At 50.8% G+C, this 22,642-nt stretch overlaps 2 protein-coding genes across 14 annotated transcripts in view, besides 1 other annotated feature; one reads left to right on the forward strand and one right to left on the reverse strand.

Annotated features, from left to right (window-relative positions):
- ACAD9 (acyl-CoA dehydrogenase family member 9) overlaps positions 1-17,003 on the forward strand; it is a 33,495-nt gene extending 16,492 nt beyond the window's left edge. For 4 of the 5 annotated variants that reach the window (NR_033426.2, NM_014049.5, NM_001410805.1 and 1 more), the window contains 14 exons: positions 325-425; positions 1,521-1,599; positions 3,176-3,350; positions 5,165-5,238; positions 6,442-6,517; positions 7,951-8,021; positions 8,275-8,394; positions 10,010-10,138; positions 12,074-12,153; positions 12,862-12,988; positions 13,233-13,310; positions 13,910-14,038; positions 14,630-14,702; positions 16,396-17,003. Coding sequence is in view for 3 of the 5 variants with exons in the window: in NM_014049.5 (NP_054768.2) it covers positions 325-425; positions 1,521-1,599; positions 3,176-3,350; positions 5,165-5,238; positions 6,442-6,517; positions 7,951-8,021; positions 8,275-8,394; positions 10,010-10,138; positions 12,074-12,153; positions 12,862-12,988; positions 13,233-13,310; positions 13,910-14,038; positions 14,630-14,702; positions 16,396-16,496 (1,413 nt within the window). In the remaining 2 variants the exon portion in view is untranslated. Of the gene's footprint in view, positions 1-324; positions 426-1,520; positions 1,600-3,175; positions 3,351-5,164; positions 5,239-6,441; positions 6,522-7,950; positions 8,022-8,274; positions 8,395-10,009; positions 10,139-12,073; positions 12,154-12,861; positions 12,989-13,232; positions 13,311-13,909; positions 14,039-14,629; positions 14,703-16,395 lie in introns of those variants that run through there. The other variant, XR_427367.4, reaches the window with a different exon arrangement.
- Positions 5,983-7,182: an enhancer, noted in NCBI's record as "BRD4-independent group 4 enhancer chr3:128620937-128622136 (GRCh37/hg19 assembly coordinates)". NCBI's record gives its function as "activates an origin of replication core promoter dependent on BRD2, P300/CBP, MED14 and CDK7 cofactors, and independent of BRD4, by STARR-seq in HCT116 cells {active_cell/tissue: HCT116}" and the evidence as "EXISTENCE:reporter gene assay evidence [ECO:0000049][PMID:35650434]".
- Positions 13,762-22,642, reverse strand: part of CFAP92 (cilia and flagella associated protein 92 (putative)) — a 116,876-nt gene continuing 107,995 nt past the window's right edge. For 5 of the 9 annotated variants that reach the window (XM_017006945.2, XM_011513050.3, NM_001348521.2 and 2 more), the window contains 4 exons: positions 19,996-20,160; positions 19,246-19,452; positions 19,008-19,164; positions 13,762-14,222 (listed from right to left, as the gene is read on the reverse strand). In XM_017006945.2, the coding sequence (XP_016862434.1) occupies positions 14,188-14,222; positions 19,008-19,164; positions 19,246-19,452; positions 19,996-20,160 (564 nt within the window). In that variant the 3' untranslated portion in view covers positions 13,762-14,187. Of the gene's footprint in view, positions 14,223-17,011; positions 19,453-19,995; positions 20,161-22,642 lie in introns of those variants that run through there. The other 4 variants (XM_047448638.1, XM_047448639.1, XM_047448637.1 and 1 more) reach the window with 4 other exon arrangements.

A 22,642-nucleotide genomic window follows, 5' to 3' on the forward strand; every position in this document is an offset into this window, starting at 1 on the left:
ACAAGATGGAGGAGGCTTTCTTTGGAAAGGGATATCCTTTGCCCAAGACCACTAGTCTGGGAAATGAAGGAACTGATATGAAAGTTTTGGACACAGACTGCAAAGCACTGTGGGTTGCACAGGCTCACGGCACTGGCATGTGCGCCCTGACCGTCTCCTCAGCAGCTTGGCTCCCTGGGCTCTGCCTGTGGCCGCTTGCTCTGAGTTCTTGCTGTCTTCTCTTGCCCGAAGTAAATATTTGCCTCAGAAAGGAAATGTTTCACAAACACCTCATGCTCTCCTTTCTCCCCACAGCTGACATTAGTCTGTGTCTGTTTTGTTTAGGGGATCATCTTGGCTGGCACTGAGGAGCAGAAAGCCAAATACTTGCCTAAACTGGCGTCCGGGGAGCACATTGCAGCCTTCTGCCTCACGGAGCCAGCCAGGTCTGTCTCTGCACAAAACGTTATCCCTCAGCAGCTGTGATGTTGCCCAAGATTCACTGGGGCAAGGGGCTGTTGGTTTTGTTGAGTAGCTGACTTTTCCTTCTTTCCAAAATCTTGCAAAGAATCAACTCAGCAACTGTTCTTGCCATTCCTCTTATCTTGACCTTATTTCTCTGTCCCAGTGAGACTTGCAAGTGAGATACCACGCTTGACAGCACTTATTAAATAAATTTTTGTGGTTTACAACACACCTTGACATACAATATAGTAATAACGTTCCGGCTTCAAAGCACCTTTCAGAATATATAGCGTGGGTGGTACTGCTCCCACTTACACATTAGGAGCTGAGGTTCAGTGAGGCTGTGTGATCTGCTGGATGGAGCAGGGCTGCGGCAGCACTCGGGACTCTGATGATAAGTCCATCACCTGGACCATCCTCCATCCTGCTTCACTTTGCATGAGAACCTGGGAACAGTCATCCTTCCTGGGGTGCCCAGAACTCATCCTCACAGGACCTCAGATGAGCCCATTGCAAGCACCCATTTCCATGTTTAAACCTAAGCCCAAGTTGTTTTCACTGCCGCTTTTTTACGTGATGTATTGAAGCAGAGGTCGGCTAAATCCAGCCTCCTGCCTGTTTTTTATAAATAAGTTTTGTTTGTTTGTTTTTGAGACAGGGTCTTGCTGCGTCACCCAGGCTGGAGTGCAGTGGCTCAATCTCATCTCACTGCAACCTCCGCCTTCAAGCGATTCTTCTGCCTCAGCCTCCCGAGTAGCTGGGACTACAGGCATGCCCCACCACACCCAGCTAATTTTTGTATTTTTAGTAGAGACGGGGTTTCACCATGTTGGCCAGATCTCAATCTCTTGACCTCGTGAACCACCTGCCTCAGCCTCATGTTCTATTAATAGCAGCAGAGTTGAGGAGGTGAGACAGACATCCTGCAGCTTGGAAAGCTGAATATGTTATCTGACCCTTCATTTTAAAAGTTTGCTGACCTCTTACAAGTACTAAAACCTCCATTTTCAGGCCCTCAAAAGCATTCATATTTATTCCCAGTATTCTCCCTTGACCACATCTTTCTGCATCTGCAGTGGGAGCGATGCAGCCTCAATCCGGAGCAGAGCCACACTAAGTGAAGACAAGAAGCACTACATCCTCAATGGCTCCAAGGTAGGGTTCCTTCCCCATGGCCACATTAGGGTCTCAGTCACAACCTTCACTGCCACTGAGTGAGCACTCTCCACACACCAGGGATTGTACCTGCTGCTGTAGCACCGACTACCTTCTTGAGCTGCTTTTATGTGTTTGTTTTTAATTTTTTTTAGTTTTTTTTATTTGCGATGGAGTCTCTGTCACCCAGGCTGGAGTGCAGTGGTGTAATCTCAGCTCACTGAAACTTCTGCCTCCCAGGTTTCCAATGATTCTCCTGCCTTAGCCTCCTGGGTAGCTGGGATTAGAGGTGCGTGTCACCACTCCTGGCTAATTTTTGTATTTTCAGTAGAGATGGAGTTTCACCATGTTGTCCAGTCAGGTCTTGAACTCCTGACCTCAAGTGATCTGCCCACCTCGGCCTCCCAAAGTGCTGAGTTTACAGGCAATGAGCCACTGTGCCCGGCTTGTAAACCCAAAAAATCTTTAAATTTTTTGTTACACAAAGTTTCAGACATATTCTGTGTGCCTGGCTGGCCCTAACTCCGGCAGTCACCTGCTTATGGCCACTGTGCCTCTTCCAGCAGCATCGCCACCTCCAGATCGCATGGTAACAATCTCAGCATGCCTCTCTAAAAGACAGGAGTTTTTTTTGTTTGTTTTTGTTTTTTAATAAACACAAAGCCGTAATACCCTTATCACATTTTAAAAATTGATAATTTCTCTTTTCTTTTGAGACAGGGTCCCGCTCTGTCACCCAGGCTGGAGTGCAGTGGCACGATCTTGGCTCACTGCAGCCTCAACTTCCTGGGCTCAGGTGATTCTCCTACCTCAACCTCCCAAGCAGCTGGGAGTACAGGCACACAGCTAACTCTTTGTATTTTTTTTTTGGTAGAGATGGGTTTTCACCGTGTTGCCCAGGTTGGTCTCAAACTCCGGGGCTCAAGTGGTCTGCCCACCTCGGCCTCCCAAAGTGCTGGGATTACAGGCGTGAGCCACTGTGCCCAGCTAATAATTTCTTACTTCTATCAGCATTCAAATATCCCTGATTGCCTCATACCTTTTTTTGGTTTAACTGTTTGCTTGAATTAAGATCCACACAAGTCCCATCTGTTGCTGTTTGTTAAGGAGTCTGTTTCTGCCTCTGTCTCCCTCTGTTTCCTTTCCTCCTCCTCACCACCCTCCCGCCTTTTTTCATTTCTTTGTAGAATTAACAAATAAATGTTGTGTGTATTTACATCTACAACATGATGTTTTTATATATGTATACCTTAAGAAATGATTAAACCCTTTCTTTCTTGAAGAAATGCAGTTGTCTGGCGGTGGAGCCTGAGCTGTCTGACAACTTTGGGTGTTCTTTCCCCCGCCCCCGCCTCCACCTGGCCATCCATGTCCCTTGGGAAAATCCTTGCTCTGGGGAAAGTGGGCTGAGCCCTGTCCTCTATTCACTCATGCTTGGTTGGCTTCTGCAGAGCCAAGGACCCTGCATGTCTGGCCTGAGGTCTGACTGGCAGCTGGAGCTTGATGGACAAAGACAGAGCTGAGGTGGGTCACATAGGGGTTTGGTTTTCTCCAAAGTCCATCTTTCTGTCCTCAGGTCTGGATTACTAATGGAGGACTGGCCAATATTTTTACTGTGTTTGCAAAGACTGAGGTCGTTGATTCTGATGGATCAGTGAAAGACAAAATCACAGCATTCATAGTAGAAAGAGACTTTGGTGGAGTCACTAATGGGAAACCCGAAGATAAATTAGGCATTCGGGGCTCCAACAGTAAGTAGCTCCTGTGCGCGCGTGCGCGTGTGTGTGTGTAAGGGGGAGACTGGCCTTTGACGGTGTGTGTGTGTGTGTGTGTGTGTGTGTGTGTGTGTGTGTAAGGGGGAGACTGGCCCTTGACTCTGTCCAAATAGCAAGATAAAATGAGATTTAAACACTTTCAGTTTTTGTTAAGCATTTTAAAAAGATCAAATTAAGAATGCCACTTGGGCTTTGTCTTTGTTCCTGCAGCTGAGTGCTGCTCACTTGAAGGCCTGCTGGTCATCCCCTGCTGTAGCTGCCCTAGCAGACACACCACCTTAGAGCTCAGCTTACAGTCCCCAGCCTTTAGTTGTCTCAGTCTGCAGTGCCTGGCAGCCTGCTTCAGGCTGTGAGTTGGGTTCAGGTCCATCTGGGTTCAGGTCCATCTGGAGGCTTGTTCTTAGAGCAGATCATAAGCACCTAAGGGGCCAAGCCAAGCCATATAAGTACTATTTTTGCCGTGGGAGACATAGTCTCCCTCTGTCACCCAGCCTGGAATGCAGTGCTGTGATCTCAGCTCACTGCAACCTCTGCCTCCTGGGTTCGAGTGATTCTCCTGTCTCAGCCTCCCAAGTAATTGGGACTACAGGCGTGCACCACCACACCTGGCTAATTTTTGTATTTTTTGTAGAGATGGGGTTTCAACATGTTGCCCAGACTTGTCTTGAACTCCTGAGCTCAGGCAGTCTACCTGCCTCAGCCTCCCAAAGTGCTAGGATTACACGTGTGAGTTACCATACCTGGCCACTTTTTTTTGGTTTGTTTTTTTTGAGACGGAGTCTCGCTCTGTCGCCCAGGCTGGAGTGCAGTGGCACTATCTTGGCTCACTGCAAGCTCCGCCTCCCGGGTTCACGCCATTCTCCTGCCTCAGCCTCCCGAATAGCTGGGACTACAGCTGCCTGCCACCACGTCCGGCTAATTTTTTCTATTTTTTAGTGGAGATGGGGTTTCACCATGTTAGCCAGGATGGCCTCGATCTCCTGACCTCGTGATCCGCTCACCTCGGCCTCCCAAAGTGCGTGAGCCACCGCACCCGGCCTTTTTTTTTTTTTTTTTAAATAGAGATGAGGTCTTGCTATGTTGTCCTGGCTGGTCTCGAACTCCTGGGTTCAAGTGATCTTCCTGCCTCTGCCTCCCAAAATGCTGGGATTATAGGCATGAGCCACCATACCCGACTGACCCTAAAACACATTTAAGGTCTCTGTTCATGTTGGGTCAGCTCTTTGTATTGGCCACAGGAAGTCACATGGTCATACCTAGCAGGCAGGGAAAGGGAGGGAGGTCCATCCCTCCTCACAGTGGGAGAGTGCTACAGTTAGATTGCAGGGGTGTGATTGTGTTAGAGTTAAGAATTGAGACCAGTGGTCCCAGTCTACCCTAAGGCTTCAGGAAATGCTGTTCTTTCCCTCACTTTGCTTGTTCTGGCTCTTTATATGCCTGGTTCTTTTCATTCTTAAACTTCTGCTAAATGTCACCTTAGAAAAGTCTGACATAGTCCTTAATAAAAATATTATTATCCACCCCCTTGCCAACCTCCATTTCTCTTTATCGTGATGCCCTATTTATTTCATCCATAGCACTGATCACAATATTACATTGTTTTGTTTATAGCTTTTGTCTCCCAAATCAAAGTATGAGCCTCCACAAAGATAGGAACTTTGTCTTTCTATACTGTCCTACCAAACATTGGATGGATGGATGGATGGATGGATGGATGAATTGCCTGCTTGCAGGTCAGATGCAGAGTGGTTTGCATTGTCAGATGATATCTTAAATTTCATGTGTTTCAGCTTGTGAAGTCCATTTTGAAAACACCAAGATACCTGTGGAAAACATCCTTGGAGAGGTCGGAGATGGGTTTAAGGTGAGTTGCCAGCCACAGCCCCTTGTACCAGGTAGTGTCATGAGTGCAGTTTGTCGCCCCCAGCTTTTGCCCTATCCCTGCTCGTAGCAGAGTAGCCTGTGCATGGCAGGTGACTTTGCATGGTTATCTGTTGGGAAATTGGCAAAATGGACACTGGAAAATTGGCTGGCTCCTAGAAGAAGTGTATGGTAAGGATTAGGAATTTCCCTTCACCTCTGAGGCCCTATTCGCCTCGAGCGGAGGCTAAGATTCCCTTCTGCAGTGGGTATGAGAAAGCAGCCTGTGGGCTCTGGTGAATCTCAAGCTCTGTGTACCACAACCCTGGTCTGCATCGCTGCCCTACTCTTTTCTTTTTGGACTAAGACTTATTTTTATCAAGAGATGATTCATATGACAAAGGACTCACCATTTTAAAATATTATTTCAGTGGTTTTTAGTATATTCACTATGTTGTTCAAATATCTCACACAGAACATTTCCTCACCCCAAAAAGAAATGTTGTACCATCCAGTATGACCCTTACCCCATCCCTTGGCTGCTACTCTTTTACTTTATGTCCCTATGGATTTGCCTGTTTGGAACATTTCATAAAAATGCAGTCATATACAAGATCCAGTCTTTGGTGACAGGCTTCTCTCACATTGCGTGATGTTTTCAAGGTTCATCTCTCTCATAGCATGAATGAGTAATTCATTCCTTTTATGGCTGAATTCTCTTCTGTTGAGTGGAGATACCACATTTTGTTCATCCATTCACCAGCTGATGGACATTGGGGTTGTTACCGCTTTTGGCTGCTATCAGTAATGCTACTTATGAACATTCATGTCAAGTTTTAATGTGGAAATAACGTTTTCAGGTATTTTGATTTATGCCTAAAAGTAGAATTTCTGTTTGGCCCAAGTTGGTCTTGAACTCCTGGGCTCAAGCGATCCTCTTGCCTTGGCCTTCCAAAATGCTGGTACTACAGGTGGGAGCCACCATGCCCAGCTCTGGCATGGTCCTTTGGAATAACGTTCAGTGGTCTTGTGTGTGGGGATGTTGGTAGAGCTGCAACAGTGACTGAACCACCTTGTTCTGAGGCATTAGGATGGTGCTTTCTCCCAGCTTGAGGGAAGGCAAGCTGATCCACCTGGCCTGGTTTCGTTGCGGCCTCCTCCCTCTGCCTCCTTCAGGGCCCCTGGGCTCTCCCTGTTCTCCCTGCAGGTGGCCATGAACATCCTCAACAGCGGCCGGTTCAGCATGGGCAGCGTCGTGGCTGGGCTGCTCAAGAGATTGATTGGTAGGTAAGTTAGGGACAAGGCCCTTTGTGCCCCACCCCCTGCTGCCCCGGCTCCAACCCTGGAGGCTCTGCCATTCCCCCGGCCCCTTCCAGGCCAGTGCTGAACCAGGCTACCAGCCTGAGCTCAGTCCCTGGGCTTTTGTGGAGACCAGAGGGTCTCCTCAGCCTGCCCCTGAGGTTTGTTGTCTTCCGCATTCCTCTGTTTCACCTCCACCCGGGTGATGCTGACTGGGGGACAGGCTTTCTGTCTGGGGTGGGGATGGGGATTGGGGAATGGGCTGTCTGTCTGGAGTGAGAGGTTGCCACTGACCAGTAGGAGCAGAGCTGCTTGGTGAGCACACACCAAGAACCAGGCTTCCAGGATACACGGCCTCTGGTTCCCAAGGTCCGTGCCTCCTGGGTGACTCTGCATGGTGGGTGGGGAGTAGGATCGGGTTTGGAACCCAGGTCCCTGGGCCCCTGGATCTTACCTTTGTTCTATTCTGTCAGAATACCCCAAACCTCCATTTTCCTTTGCCAGTGAACTTAGAACAGCCCTGTAACCATCCTGGTTGTGGTGGAAGCATTTGCGGGGAAATGGGGGTACCCGGGGCAGCACACCCCTAAGTGCTTTATGAAGCTCCTCTTTGGTGCCAGGCTCTGGGCCTGTTTTGGCTTCCCTCCATTTTAGAGATGAGAAGACAGAGACTCAGAGAGGGCAAGCGATTTGTTCCAGACTGTGCTCCTGGACCCAAAATGAAAGCTGTCAGGCTCCAGGCTCAGGGCTCTTCTTACTCAGGCACAAGGCCTCTGGGGAGCTCCTCTGCTGGGGCTCTGAGTGGGGCTCGGCCCTCTACACCTCCTGAGTGCACCACACCTGGGAGAGCCTGTGGAGGACATGGCTATGGCGGGGCGGGGGTGCTTCTGCCTGGGAGAGGCGCCATGTCACTCTTGGGCCCTTAGAGCTCAGCACTTTGTCACAGCCACACGCCTGGAAGCCCCAGCCTGAGTATTCAAGCCAGGCGGCCCCACCTGCTTTGGTCACTGCACGGGGTGTGAGCCTGCACCACCTCTGTCTGGGGCCTCTGTGCCTGGCTTTGTGCGAGGCGCCCTCCCCCTTCCACCTGGTTGCATCTTCACAGCGACTCTGAGGTGGGGGTGGTGTTCAGGGAGGTGTCGCACTCGGCCTGAGGCACAGCCTGTAAGAACCATTGCCAGGATTCAAGTCTGTATCTGATGCCAAACTCTGTGTGTGGGTGCCATGAGGAGGGGTGGTTCTCCTCTGACCCACGGGTGCTGGCAAGTGGGGGTGCCAGCTTCTGGGGTATTTGACCTCAGCAGACACGCTTCTCACAGTGCCCACCTGTGGGAAGGGTAAGGATGATGGCCATAGGAAATCATGTTTGAACCACAGAAATATTCCAGTTCATTCTAATAACTCTGCTCTTCCTCAGAAATGACTGCTGAGTACGCCTGCACAAGGAAACAGTTTAACAAGAGGCTCAGTGAATTTGGATTGATTCAGGTACCAATGGTTGAGTACTGTATTTGTGCATTTCACTGTGTGACATGAACGGTGTGTTCTTTTGATGTCTCTGTACTGGTGACTTCTGTGGTGATTTGGGAAGAAGACTAGTTAAGGCTTTATTTGACACGGGTCACTGGGCTTGCTTCTCTTGGGCATTGAGGCTTCTGACTTAATTACTTTCTCTCCTGTTTCACAGATTTGGCTCTCAGCACATGCAAATTGTTTCTTGTGTTTTTTCTGAACACTCCAGGAGAAATTTGCACTGATGGCTCAGAAGGCTTACGTCATGGAGAGTATGACCTACCTCACAGCAGGGATGCTGGACCAACCTGGCTTTCCCGACTGCTCCATCGAGGCAGCCATGGTGAAGGTAACCCTGGCATAGCCAGAGAGCTGGCGCTGGAGGGAGGCTTGGGAAATCTCCCTCACTGTGACCTTTCAAGCCCATGCTGTTGCCTGTCATCTTCCTCCTGTCATTGATCCAGTATTTATGATGCACTTGCCCTGTGTAGCACTCCAGGGATAGGCAGGCAGCGGGGAGCAGCAGTAGGGAAGTGTCCAGTGGGCCAGTGGATCAGTAGTTTATAGCAGAAGGAGACCGTTATGATAATATCCTTTTAGAGTAATAACATTGCATCTGGCTTGTGTGAGAAAGACTTCTTTTTTCCTTAGTTTATGGCCTTCCTACTTTCTGGTATCAAAACTTTATCTTAAAAACTAAGCATATGGCAGGGCGCGGTGGCTCACACCTGTAATCCCAGCACTTTGGGGGGCCGAGGTGGATGGATCACCTGAGGTCTGGAGTTCGAGACCAGCCTGGCCAACATGGTAAAACCCCATCTCTACTAAAAACACAAAAAATTAGCCGGGCATAGTGGCGGGCACCTGTAACCCCAGCTACTTGGGAAGCTGAGGCAAGAGAATCACTTGAACCCGGTGGGGGCGGAGGTTGCAGTGAGCCGAGGTTGTGCCATTGCACACCAGCCTAGGCAACAAGAGCAAAACTCCATCTCAAAAAAAAACAAAAAACAAAAAACATGTATGAGCCTGGGCAACATGGCGAAACCCCATCTCTACAAAAAATACAAAAATTAGCTGGCATGGTGGCACACGCCTATAGTCCCTGCTACCTGGGAGGCTGAGGTGGGAAGAGCATCTTATTTGGTTAAGGTAGATACTAGAATTTGCTTTTGTTTTGTTGAGGGTGGAGGGTGTCATTTTTTAGCTGTAATAAAAAAGATGGCCACACTTGGGGGGACCCTACTTTGTGCCCCCCACAATTGTTTTTAAGCTGGTCTCTGGAATTGAGCTCTTGAGAGAAATAGTGAGAGGTATGGCAGCTTACAGAAGCAAACATCCTGGTGTCGGCAGGAGAGTCTACCTAAAAGGTTGGGATCCTGAAGTGGCAAGGTCCCTAAAAAAATAAAAAATTAAAAACAAAAAGGCTGGGCATCTTGGACCGTGTTTGAGTCTTTTCTAGGTGCAGTCTGTGTACTGGGTGCATTTGCATGTGTTTTATCATCTCGTTTTCTTGTCACCCTTGAACAGTGACCACAGACATTAGTTTGCTGTAGGCCAGCCTCTTCCAGATGCTAAGCCTAGGGCTAAACATGGCAGTATGTTTGCCCCCAAGGCACTTATAGTGTGCACAGACAGAAAGAAATCACGGCCGCTGGGGCTTGGCAGGAACAGGTCAGGTTTTCTCGGGAAGGGGAGATCTTAGGTGGGTTTTAAAGGAACAGGAGCTCAGCCAGGTGCAGATAGGGTGAAGGCAGGCCCAGAGGTACAGAAGGTCATGGTGGGGTAGGGAACACAAGCTGGCCAGTGTGGTCACGGAAGGCAAAGGACTTGACCACATCACCCCTCAAGTTCCTCCCTGGCCGATCTCCTCCCCAAGCCCGTGTGCCTCCCATGCCTCCCCAGCCACCCAGCTCCCTGCAGCGTAGGTCCTCCTTTTGGAAAGGATTCAGTGTGACACCCCACAGGTGTTCAGCTCCGAGGCCGCCTGGCAGTGTGTGAGTGAGGCGCTGCAGATCCTCGGGGGCTTGGGCTACACAAGGGACTATCCGTACGAGCGCATACTGCGTGACACCCGCATCCTCCTCATCTTCGAGGTGAGTGGCCCCGCCACCAGCTAAGCTGTGCTCCACCCCCACCCTGCCTGGTCCTAAAGATGCTGCTCAGGGCCTCGCAGAGGCCCCCGCAGCCCAGGGCTGGGTCGCATGCTCTCAGGGGCTCTCCTAGCCCTGGCACGTCTCCTTCCCGACTGCTGCCCTCCATGAAGTCACAAGCCTGAGGAGTCAGTTCAGTTAGCATGTGCCAGGTGGCAGGGGAGGGAACTGGGGCCACAGAGATGACTTCGGATGCTGTGTTCTGATTGTGCAGCAGGGCCGACCAAGGGAGATGACAGAGTGTAAAGAGGCAGGGAGCGGGCATCCTCCAGAGGCAGCCAGAGTTTTGTGAAGCATGCGCTCCTGGCCCCTAGGGGCAGAAAGAAAGGGCTTCAACCAGGGCCGGGTGGAGGGCAGTTTGTCCCTAAGGGCAGGGTAATAGAGCGCGCCAGGCCCAGATGGGACTGATCTGCTGGCACAAGGTGAATGAAGAGAGAGTGAAGGGCTTTCTGGGAGCAGCAGTCAGCCCTGCTAGGTGGGCTGGGGCAGGCAGTGGGTTTGGGGGTGTTGAAGAAGGTATATGGGAAGGCTAAAAAAGTAGCCAGACTGTGGAGGACCTTGATTGACAGCAGAGGAATTTGGAAGCCACAAAACGTCTTTAAGCAGGGCATTATTTGGTTGTATCTGTGTTGTGGGAAATGCCCCCAGGGGCTCAGCAAGTGCTGGACATGTGGACGGGGCTCATGTGGAGAGTGAGTTGCAGGGATGAGGCCGGAGACCAGGGGCTCTCCTGCTGGGAGGGAGGGGCTGGACCTAAGAGAGCACAGCAGGATGAGTGGGATATGATGGTGGGCATGGGTATACAGGAGGCAGGCCTGAGACAGGGAGAGGGTTTGGGCCTGAGCAGCAGGTCTGGTGATGAGAGGCATCATCAGCCTCTGGGAGTGTAGTCTTGTCTCCTGGGCCGTCCTGCCCAGTGGGAGGCCTCCTTGGCTGCTTTTGTTCCTGGCCTACCCATTGGGTTCCAGCCATCTCCACTGTTGCAGTGGACATACGGGGCAAGGGCCAGCCTGAGGGCACTGGAGTGGTCTCAGCCCTGCAAAGGGTCTTCTCCAAAGGCCCTTCCCTTAGCCTGGGAGGGTTGGGGTTCTCCAGGGCTGGGGTGGTCAGCAGGGTTCAGGAAGCCCTCAAGGCCTTGGAAGAACACAGGGCTCTCGATGTAGGGTGAGAGCTCCTGTCTGGAGCCTGCTCGGAGCTGGGTGGTCCTGCCAGGAGGCCCCTGCAGTCCCCCCTTTTCCTGTAGGGAGTCCTGCTGTCCGTGATGTCAGCCTGACTGCAGGGGACAGTCCTCAGTCCCTAGTGCTGGCTGTGTAGCCTGGGTCAGGCCCCTGCACCTGACACACAGTACCATTGTGCAGAGTGGGCAGAAGCCCACTGGCCTCTCACTGATCAGAATCATGGGTTGGGGGAGTGGGGAGCATGTGGCCCTCTGGGTGTGTTGACACCTGGCACTGAGGAGGTTCTAGCTGCCACTCAGCAATTTCTGGCTTCCGTGAGGAATCTGGCCTCCACCTGGAGCCAGCAATGTCTGTCTGGCACTGGCTGAGCCCCAGGCATCAGCACCCCTCACCACCCGGGGAAAGCTGGTTTCCATTTTACAGAGGACCTGGAGACTTGGAGAAAGGCTTGACACACGTGAGGCTGGTCACGGAGAGGTGGGGGGGTCCCAGTGGGAGCTCATGGCCATCTGGTCACCTCCCTCCTCATCCCTGTGCACTCCCTGAGCCCTGGCCAGAGCCCTGCTCCCAGCTACTTCAGGAGCAGTGGCTTTTGTGGCAATGGGCAAGCAGGCAGTGGCCGGCTCTACCCAGCACACGTGGCACTACCATGGCTGCCTGGCCGGGGGGCAGCCTTTGACCTCTACACTACTGACCACAGGGAACCAATGAGATTCTCCGGATGTACATCGCCCTGACGGGTCTGCAGCATGCCGGCCGCATCCTGACTACCAGGATCCAGTAGGTGCCATTGTCACCGTGTGCTTCTCAGGTCCCATACCTGCCCAGCAGGGGCCAGTCCAGGGCAGTGGGAGGAAAGAGCTGCCTTGACCTGGAGTGGGGGCATGGGGGTGTGGCGCAGCCTTGTGGAGGGGACCTTCCCCTGTGGTAGTGGGGGGCTTGCTGCCCAGGGAAGCCCTCGCTGCCCTGCCCTTATGGCCACAGCACCCTACAGCTTCAGCATAAATACCGTATCCCCCATCTGGTCCCTCACACTAGAGGCAGCTGGTTTTTCAGAACCTGAAGAATGAGAGGTGTCCCTTTAAAGGTGCCAGGCCTCACAGCCAACATAAGCCAGTGTTTCTCTTCTCTGCCCTTCTTCCCCTCATGCTCCCCTCCACCCCCACCCTAGGGGCACAGTAATCCAAAATCACTGCTGGAGGCCAAGTACAGGTTGCTAGTAGCATTTTGTCTCCTTCACAGGAGACAGCTGCTGGGAAGCTGGCTGTGACTCCACCCCTCATGGGGGAGCATATGTGTGGCTCCCCTGAGGAGACTGGCTGCTCTCTGGCAGGTGGTGGGTTTGGGGGGGTTCAGGCTGTAGCCAGGGGCCCAGCATACCCAGGCCAGAGGGGGGCACGGAGCTTCTGGGTGCCGAATGGGCCATGTTGCTGGACAGTGAGCGCCAGCAGCGAGGCCTCCAGTCACAGGACCATGGACTTTCTGCAGTGAGCTTAAACAGGCCAAAGTGAGCACAGTCATGGATACCGTTGGCCGGAGGCTTCGGGACTCCCTGGGCCGAACTGTGGACCTGGGGCTGACAGGCAACCATGGAGTTGTGCACCCCAGTCTTGCGGTGAGTGGGCCTAACAGGCATACCCCCTATTTCAATGCCCTCCTGCCAGATCTCCTTGTGGCAGAAAAGATCTCACTGTGGGGGGTCTGGGCTTCTCCAGGGGAAGTTGGGGAACACCAGCTAGTCCATGACACCCTGGATTGCTTCCCCCAGATGGGGCATCTCTGCCTGGTACCCGGGCTGTGAGACAGGACAGGGCACTGTAGGGATGAGGTGCTGAACTGAGTCCTGTCTTGGTTAATAGGACAGTGCCAACAAGTTTGAGGAGAACACCTACTGCTTCGGCCGGACCGTGGAGACACTGCTGCTCCGCTTTGGCAAGGTAACCAGGCCCTCCCAGGCCTGGGTCGCAAGCGGTCCTCCAATTTGGCCAGCATTCATGAGACTACTTTTTGTCAAGCATCCTTTGGGACCAGGCCTAGAACAGAAATGTTGATCACCCTGGAGGGATGGGGTGGTGAGGTCAGGCTGACTTTGTCAGCCTGGGGCCCACTTAGCTACTCGGATGGGTACCCTTGCTGGGTGAGTTTTCTGCAGTGTTTTTCTGTGCACCTTTCAGGTAGAGAGGCTCCCTAGAATCGGGAGGGCAGCTCCACCTGGGGCCTGAATCTAGGGACCTGATTGGTGGGGCCCTTGCTGCTGAAGGTGGCAGTAGCACAGTAAGCACTGGCTTCTGGTCTCAGCCAAGCTTCTGGGACCTGGTCTTGCCTTAACCCCTCCCTGAATCTAGAGCTCAAAGAGAAGGGAAAACAGAAGGTGGCTGGGAGCCGTTCTCCCACAACCTGAAGAGAAAGGTGTTATTGACTCCACTTTCTCAAGGAACACAGGAGACTAAGACAGGCAAAGATGCAGCCCAGGGAGGGACCATGTGGGGGACTGGTCTAGGTAGTGAGTCCCCACTTGGAGCCTCTGTGATCCCAGACCATCATGGAGGAGCAGCTGGTACTGAAGCGGGTGGCCAACATCCTCATCAACCTGTATGGCATGACGGCCGTGCTGTCGCGGGCCAGCCGCTCCATCCGCATTGGGCTCCGCAACCACGACCACGAGGTGAGCCCAGCCCAGCCTCACACAGGGCCTGGCTGCTGCCATCTGTCCTGCTGCACTTTAATGAAGTTGATTGTTGAGGAGGGTGTGGTCGGGTGTGGGGGAGGCTGTGCAGGTTCACCATGCGGTGGCCGTGGGAGGGTCTGTGCTGCTCAGGAGATGGGGCTGTTCCCTTTCTTCTTCCTGACTGAGAGAAGAGGGGGTGAGTGACAGGGGTTCCTGATCCCAGTGCCCCTACCCCCAGCAAGGGACAGACCCTGCACATTGCCCGCTGTGCTGGAGGGAGGCGGGTGCAGTCTCTGAGGACCCACTGTATACCAGGATCTCTGCCTGCACTTTCCAGAGCACCTGCAGATACCAGGATTGTGACATCTGCCTTTCAGAGGAAACAGGGTCAGAGATGTTGAGTCACTTGCTGTTGGGGAAAGGCTGTTGGATCAGGGCTGGAATTAGAACCCAAGACGGGGTGACTCCTGTGCCAGGCCTTGTGACCCCTGCCATGCTACCCAGTTTGGCTGATAGGCTGGGTTTTTGAAGCTCAGAGGTCTGATTCCAGGAATTTGGGCATATCTTTTCTGTCCTCGGTTCTGGCAGGTTCTCTTGGCCAACACCTTCTGCGTGGAAGCTTACTTGCAGAATCTCTTCAGCCTCTCTCAGCTGGACAAGTGTGAGTGGCATGTCTTGGGGGAGGGAAGGAAGGGCCCACTTCTAGGCCCCTATTGATGGTGAGCTGTTTCTGGACCCTGTCAAGCTCCCAGAGCCTGCTAGCTACTCACAGACCTCTGCCTTGAGCGAGGGCCTGGGTAGGCCTGGGCTTAGCTGCAGCAGTGCCCACCAGGCACTGTAGGTGCATACCTGCCCCATTCACCAAGGCAGTTGTATGTATATATGTGTGTGTGTGTATGTATGTATGTATGTATTTATTTCGAGATGGAGTTTCGCTCTTGTTGCCCAAGCTGGAGTGTAATGGCGCAGTCTTGGCTCCCTGCAAACTCCACCTCTTGGGTTCAAGCGATTCTTCTGCCCCAGCCTCCCGAGTAGCTGGGATTACAGGCGCACGCCACCACGCCCGGCTAATTTTTTGTATTTTTAGTAGAAACAGGGTTTCACCATGTTAGCCAGGCTGGTCTCCAACTCCTGACCTCAGGTGATCTGCCTGCCTCAGCCTCCAAAAATGCTGGGATTACAGGCATGAGCCACCGCACCGGGCCTGCCAAGGCAATTTTAGATTGAGCAAGTGCAGAGCCCTTTGCGCAGGACCCCTGGCATCTGCCCAGCATGCCTGGCTGTATTCTCTTTTTTTTGGAGACATAGTCTCACTTTGTCACCCAGGCTGGCTGGAGTGCAGTGGCATGATCTTGGCTCACTGCAACCTCCACCTCCTGGGTTCAAGCAACTCCTGTGCCTCAGCCTCCTGAGTAGTTGGGATTATAGGCACGCACCACCATGCCCAGCTAATATTTGTATTTTTAGTAGAAACAAACAGGGTTTCACCATGTTGGCCAAGCTGGTCTCCAACCCCTGACCTCAGGTGATCCGCCCACCTTGGCCTCCCAAAGTGCTGGGATTACAGGCATGAGCCACTGTGCCCAGCCCTGGCTGTATTCTTGAAGCTGCCCGGGGAAGGCTCACGAAGGGAGGAGCATCTGGTTGTACCTGATTCTGGAGACAGCATTTTACCTGCCCCTTTACCCACTGTACTCCATCCAAAATGACCCTGCAGTGCCCTGCAGAGGTCTCAGGCCTTGGCCTAGAGAACAGAGGGCTTTGCTCGTGCTCCCCGCTCTGTCTGCAGTGCTCTTCCTCTTCTATAGCCACTCGACCATATCTAGGAATGCCCAGCTCAGTCTACCTCTGACCCTCACAGTCCTGTTGACCTGAGGTTCTGGATCAGTGTCCCCACAAAGCCCAGTCGTGTTGCCAAGTGATGGGTGTAGGCGCCAGCACTGTGGCACTTGCTGAGAGTGGCATATGATTTTTTGCAGGTCCTAGCCCTGGGGGTAGCCCAGACACCCCCCCAGTGCTGACAGGTTATGTGCTGTGGAGGGTGCTGAAATGGTTTCTCCTCCAGTGGGCTGGAATCACAGATGGGCTGTTTACGGAGCAAGTGCCGGCTCCACCCCATGAGATCTGGGGGTTAGAGATGAGCAGGATGAGTCCTTTGTAACTGAGAATGAAGCTGTACCCCTTTCTCTCCCTGCAGCCCTGAATCACTTGCTGGGGGTCTGGAGGAGGGGTTCACCCTTAGGGCTGCTTCATGGTGGGTGGGCTGACTTTGTGGAAAAATGCCCCCACTTCAGCCATGTTTGTCTTATCACGGTGCAGAAAGATCACCCACCATCTCTCCTTTTCCTTCCCAGATGCTCCAGAAAACCTAGATGAGCAGATTAAGAAAGTGTCCCAGCAGATCCTTGAGAAGCGAGCCTATATCTGTGCCCACCCTCTGGACAGGACATGCTGAGGCAGGGGACAGTGTCCCCTGCTACCGCCCGCCCCTACCCATGGCCCGTTGCTGGATGACTGTTACTCTTTTTTCAGAAGGTGTTGGGATTATCACAGGTTAAGCCTTTTGTTCCCCGTCTGCACCTGAAGGGTTGTCGCCTGGCCTGGGAGAGCCTCTTCCAGGTTTTGACCTGCAGGCAGTGCTCTCTAACAGGACCATCACAGCTTCTGAACTGAGCCGGAGAGAGAGAATGGAATTGCTGACCCCTGGAACTGGCGGGTATTCTGGTCATTGAGGAGACACCATAGTGGAAACTGGGGCTTATGCTGCTGCCTCCAGGGTGTGAGGTGGGTGGGGACCTGTGTCAGGTGTGGATAGCCATTTCTGCTCAACCACACATTCTCTAAGAAACAGCTTGAAAGCTCTGTCTGGGTCATTCATTTAAACTAGAAGCAGAGGCACTTAAAACATGTACCAGGAACCATTTAACAAAGAATATAAAATGTCACAATCTGTGTACTGTTAGCCTTTGCTGTACTTGTCACACTGTTCCTTAGAACCAGCCTTTAATGGGTGACAGCAGGACCCTGAGAACCACCCTTTGGTGATGGCCTCGGGTCCCCTTTGTCCTCACCCTGCAAGGAGGGCCCAGAATGCTAAGGAGCAGACACACAGTGCAGGCCACAATCCCTTGGGGTTATGAGCCCTTAGTTTTTATCCTTCTCAGGAGATGATGGGGAGGCTGTCTCAGCTGATGATGTTCCCACCTAGGGACTTTAGTTTCTTTACAAGAACTGGCTTCTACTCTTGAGGAGAGGATGAATGGTATCTCCAGGCCAGCAGGCCTTTGCATTTCTCCAGCCTCCCTTCTGCTGGCACTTGAAAGATTACACCAGGTCCCAGCGTGCTCACTGTGGTGAACTTTAAGCTTTGATGTGGTCCTTGGGTGGTCTGGAGCTCTAAAATGCCTATTGTGGACACTCCCTTGAGCACAGAGAAGGCAGCCGACTCTTTTTCCTCCAAGTATATTCCCAATTTACTGTGATGCTGGAAATAGGCAAGGAGGAGACTGGGAACTTGGAGAGCTGAGCTGGCTGAGTGGGGCTGGCCTGAGCATTCTGCCAGGGGTTTGGTAACTAGTTTTTAAAATGGGGAAAGTTTGTAAATATTGTGACCGTGTAAATAACCTCTCAGTGAAACCTGAAGTTCTGTTAGTGATAGCAGGGCAGCATTTTGCACAAAATGAAGCATGCATACCTCTGGACAGAAGGCTGCTTAGAGTTTCTTTGCACAGGAGAAGTTTGGGGAGGGGCTGTCAGACCCACCCCCCTTCTGTGCAGCCTTCTGGAAGGGGGCTTCACTCTAGGCTGGTGGCGTGTAAGGCCTCAGTCTTACATGCCAATGGAGAATGGCAAGTTCTCCATTCATCCATCTGGGTTGAAAAGGCCTAGCGACCAGTTCAAGCCTCTCCCTCTCATCTGTAGTTGCTAACTTTTCTTAAACATGTTGTGGGAAGAGGAGACCCCAGCAAGTGTTTCTTAAGTGATTTCACCAGTGAAACCCCCAGGAGACTTTTGCTGGGAAGGCTGGCAGTGGAGCTCACTAGGAAGCCTTCTTACCAAGGAAAAGCCTTGTGTTCTTAGGCTAGACAGCTCTCCTAGCTGGAGCCTCCTTGAGAGCCACAGCAGTAACTGTGGGCCTGGGACATGCCCACAGAGAGCAGGTCTCTTCAGGCAACCTGGGAGATCTAGGGCCTACTGGGGAGGGAGGGAGCCAAGTCTAGGCAAATGGAGAAAGTGACATTTCAGCAAACTTGTTAGCACTTCCATGGAGCTGTGATCAGTTGTCCTTAGGAGTCGAGGAGGAGAGGAAGCCATCACGTTCACCTGACCTAGTTTTCTGGGAGAAGTTTCTCTGGCAGACCTTGTTTTTAGATAGGCTCATGTCTCTTTCTCCCTGAACAAAGGTTCTGGCTCTGTTAACCAAGTTTGGGTTCTATGTTAACCTCCAGATGATCCTGAGATCAATTTTCATAAACAGGGATAAAGAGGAAGAGGACTTGGAGGGACTGGTACAGCAAGACCTACGTTTCCTGTCTCTGCCTTACCCCAAAGAAAGAACTGTCAGTATCTTTGCCGCTGGAAGGTCCCAGTGAAGCCCAGAGCCTCTGCCCCCAGCTCTTGGCTGGACACCTAGAGATCAGTCATGGGTAATAGTGTTGAAGCTCAGGAAGCCTTTAGACCTGTCTTCCAACTTCCCCACTTTATAGCCAAGAAACCAGACCCAGGGCATGAAGGGATTTGCCTCAAGTCACACAAATGTCACACTTGGGGCTAGAATCCTGGTCTGAGTTCCAGCCCAGCATTCAATCTCTTTTTTCAGACCCATTCTGCATCTTGCTTTTCTTAGCATAGAAAGTTTGGTTGATAGTGTAAACAAAATGGATACCACTGAAGATGCAGAGTGGCACAGAGCTCCTGCCTGCCCACGGCATCAGGAGGCCCAGCTTGGCAAACCCTTGCCTGTTACCTGTTACAGGCTTTGGTGCGGGCGAAGGGAGCAGCTCGAGGAAAGGTGGTGGTTTCTTGTACAGATCAAAGTCCACGTGGTGCCTGTCCCAGCTCCACCTGTCTCGATCCAACACAGGCTCCAGTACATTAGCAAACAGGGAGTTTTCCTTCCACTCCTAAATTGGGGGAGTAAGTAAATCAGGAGGAGAAAGGTCCCTATGGACACCCCACCTGAGACCCTGCTCTTCCCTGTGGACCTCATTCAGCTCTTTGATGGGTGGCAGCTTGAGATCCTGAAAGCTGCTTTCGGTGTCGCTCTGAAGACCTGTCACTTGGAATCCCCTGGCTGTGAGCCAGGCCTGGCGGGATTTCTTCTGGGCTTTCTTCTCCTCTTCCTTCAAGTCCAGGGGCTCCACCATGGCTGAGAGGTAATCCTGTGAGTACGTGAATCTCTTTCTTGGCTCCTAGAAATGGGGGCAGACAGGTTGGGGTGGAAGGGCTAATAGCAATCTTGGATTTATTTCCAAGTAGGAATCAGAAACAGCTGGGGGCATAATCATAGTTCCTGACAATGTAAATAGTGCATTGAGAGGAAATGACTGTGCAGTAGCCCTGTAAGGGACATATTATTGTCCCCTTTGATGGGAGAAGCCGTTTCCTAAAGTTAATATGTGCTGGAAGCCTAAACCATGGCTTTCCCTTCTGTTGGTAGCTGCCTTGATAAGCAGCAATCATAAAGTGTTCCCCAGAGGTAAGGATGCTACAGTTGTTCTCCTTTATGTACATCTGAGCTTACATTGAGGATCTTGGGCTTACCCTCAGGTGTGGAGGATTCACATTTAGTGTGGAACAGAACACCTCTCAACATCTGAGCCTTGTCTACTTCCCCTAGCTGATTGGCTTTCATCTGTATAGTTGAGATCCCCCACTGACCTCCAGGCAGGCATGGTCAGAATAAAGAACTCATGGGATTTGCCAACTGCCATCATCCTGTCTGGGTCTCTCACCTTGGCTATCTCTTGATACAGCTCCTTCTTGGCAAGCTCTGTAGAATTCATGGTCTGGGTACTATAGTTGTAGACGGCCTTGTTGGCAGGGGCTGAAATTTTAATCACCTTCGCCACGGACTTCGGAGGCTTCTTGCTGACCTGGTAGGCTTCTGTGATATTTTTCTGAAGAAAGAGACACCAGTCACTACCCACACCAGGTCATCCTCACCCCCCATGCCAGCTCATATGCAGTGAGATGATCTCTGGGACTTAGCTGTGGTGCAGGTATTGATTGATTCTTCAATACTGGTGCTGTTATTTCATCATAGAACCAGGGCAAAGGGCCAACTAGTCCAACCTCTCACTATCCAAAATGGAATTTAAGAGGACCAAAAAATTGAGACCCCTAAGGTCACTGTAACTGGAACACACATCATCTGGCCACTCATCTCCCAACCACCTTGTGATAAAGACAGAATTTGTGTCTCACATGGTCAGAAGTAGGAGAGTGTGGACAGGGGATATTACAACCTAAAGCAGCAAGGACTGCCATCCTTGACCATGGTTAACTGTCAAGTGTGCATAAGGATTATGACCCTCATTCTGTCCAGCAGGCCCAGTAAGGAAATGGGAACTCTTCCCTGAACAGAGAGAAATAAGATGGTCTGTTGGCTTCCTTTGTGAATGAAAATAGAAATGTGGAAGGAGATAAAAGACAACACAGAAGGCTGGGGGGAAAGGTGGCTGGGACCCAAAACAAGGGAGAACTGGGAAAGTTACCACTCTAAATTGTTGGGCACTGTGCAGTGTTTCATATGCATATTTCACAGTAACCTTCAGCAAAATACCATCTTTTACCTTTAAAAAATTTTTTAGCACAAGATGGTGACCTTAGCTCAACTACAGTGGCTTGACTTTGGAATCTTTGAGGAATTAATGCACAAGAATTTAAAATAATCAGGGGAGGACAAAATTTGTGATTCACACACATGAAAGAACAGACTGTCCAGGCAACAAGGGATGCAAGGTAAAGGCAAGTCTAGGTCCTCAGACTTTGGAGCACCTGCGAGAAGATTATACTAGGGATGCCACATAGAGCAAGGATCCTGTCATGGCCCACATGGAACTTCAATCAATATTTCTTGATGTGTCCAGTTTTTCTAGTTGTCCTTAGTGGGGGAGTTGATCTGAGTTTCTCAGTTAGCCATTCCTAGAAGTCCCCTGCTCCTTCCAAATCCTAGAATTCGTGAATTACAACCTAGGGGGACAGATTCTTCTTTCCATGCTACTCCTTTCTTACAATTTGAAGTTGAAATTCTGACCTAATGCTTATTACAGGGAAAGCAAACTGTTCCGTAGTTCTTCTGGGTGCCTGAGATTCTCTGCTGAGGGGTGACACCTGCAGGAGAATTTGGACTCAGAGCAAAAGTAACTAGATGCTGGAGAAGTAAATACAGTATTTAAAAAAGGCCACAGACTGAACAACTGAAGCTAAATTATTGGAAAAGATGGGCTAAGAATTTAACATAAGAAATTGTTTTAAAATAAGAGTGAAGATAGCAATATGAAGCAGAAGTAAAACTAAAAGAAAAAGTATTGAGTATGAAAATAGTTGAAATAGAAGACAAGAGAATGAGATATATTGCAGAAGTGATACTGTTGTAGAACGAATGAATGAACTGGAATATCCACTTGAGATATGCTTTCAGAAAGCAGTCCTGTATAAAAAAGATAAAATTAGAAACTGAGTATAGAGGATGGAAATAACATCCAAATAACAGAAATCCCAAAAGGAGGGGAAAAGTGAGAACAAGAAAATTTGAAGCAATAATGAATGTCAGAAAAGACAAAACTTCCAAGCCTGGGTACACTATTATTAGTGGGATTTAAGCAAACAAATACAAAGATAAACTCTCAAAGCTTCTAGAGGAAAAGAGCAGGCCACCTGTAAAGAAAAACTATCACTTGTGATCAGATCCACAACAGCAACAAGGTAAGTTAACTTCAACCTACAATTTCATATCCAAGCAAACTAATTGTGAGGGCTTAGGTTTAAAGGCCTTAGGTTTTACATAAAACCCTCCTTTAAAAACTCTTGGGGCCAGATGTGGTGGCTCATGCCTGTAATCCCAGTACTTTGGGAAGCCTAGGCAGGCAGATCATCTGAGGTCAGAAGTTCAAGACCAGCTTGGCCAACATACAGTGAAACCCTTTCCATACTAAAAAATACAAAAATTAGCTGGGCATGGTGGCACACGCCTGTAGTCCCAGCCACTTGGGAAGCTGAGGCAGGAGAATCGCTTGAATCCAGGAGGCAGAGGTTGCATTGAGCCGAGATCATGCCACTCTACTCCAGCCTGGGTGACAGAGCCAGACTCCGTCTCAAAAAAACAAAACAAAAGTCACAAAACTCTTTGGAGAAATTCAAAATGGAGGAGGAACATGCAGGAGGATTCAAGGTTAGCAAGTAATGTCCGATAGCCTAGTAAAGTTGTCTTAAAAGGACTAGGAAAATAAAATTTCAGAGCCTGGAATTGAAATTCTAGAGACTATAAAAGGGATGGTGGAGTGTGGGTAGGAGATGAGATAAAAGGGATGTAAATGTACAATTTGTCTTATAAAGAGAATATAGTTTTATGAGTTTAATGTTCAGTAGGAATGCCTA

The sequence above is a fragment of the Homo sapiens genome, chromosome 3 (assembly GCF_000001405.40).
Source record: "Homo sapiens chromosome 3, GRCh38.p14 Primary Assembly".
In the NCBI taxonomy this organism is placed as follows: Eukaryota; Metazoa; Chordata; class Mammalia; order Primates; family Hominidae; genus Homo; species Homo sapiens.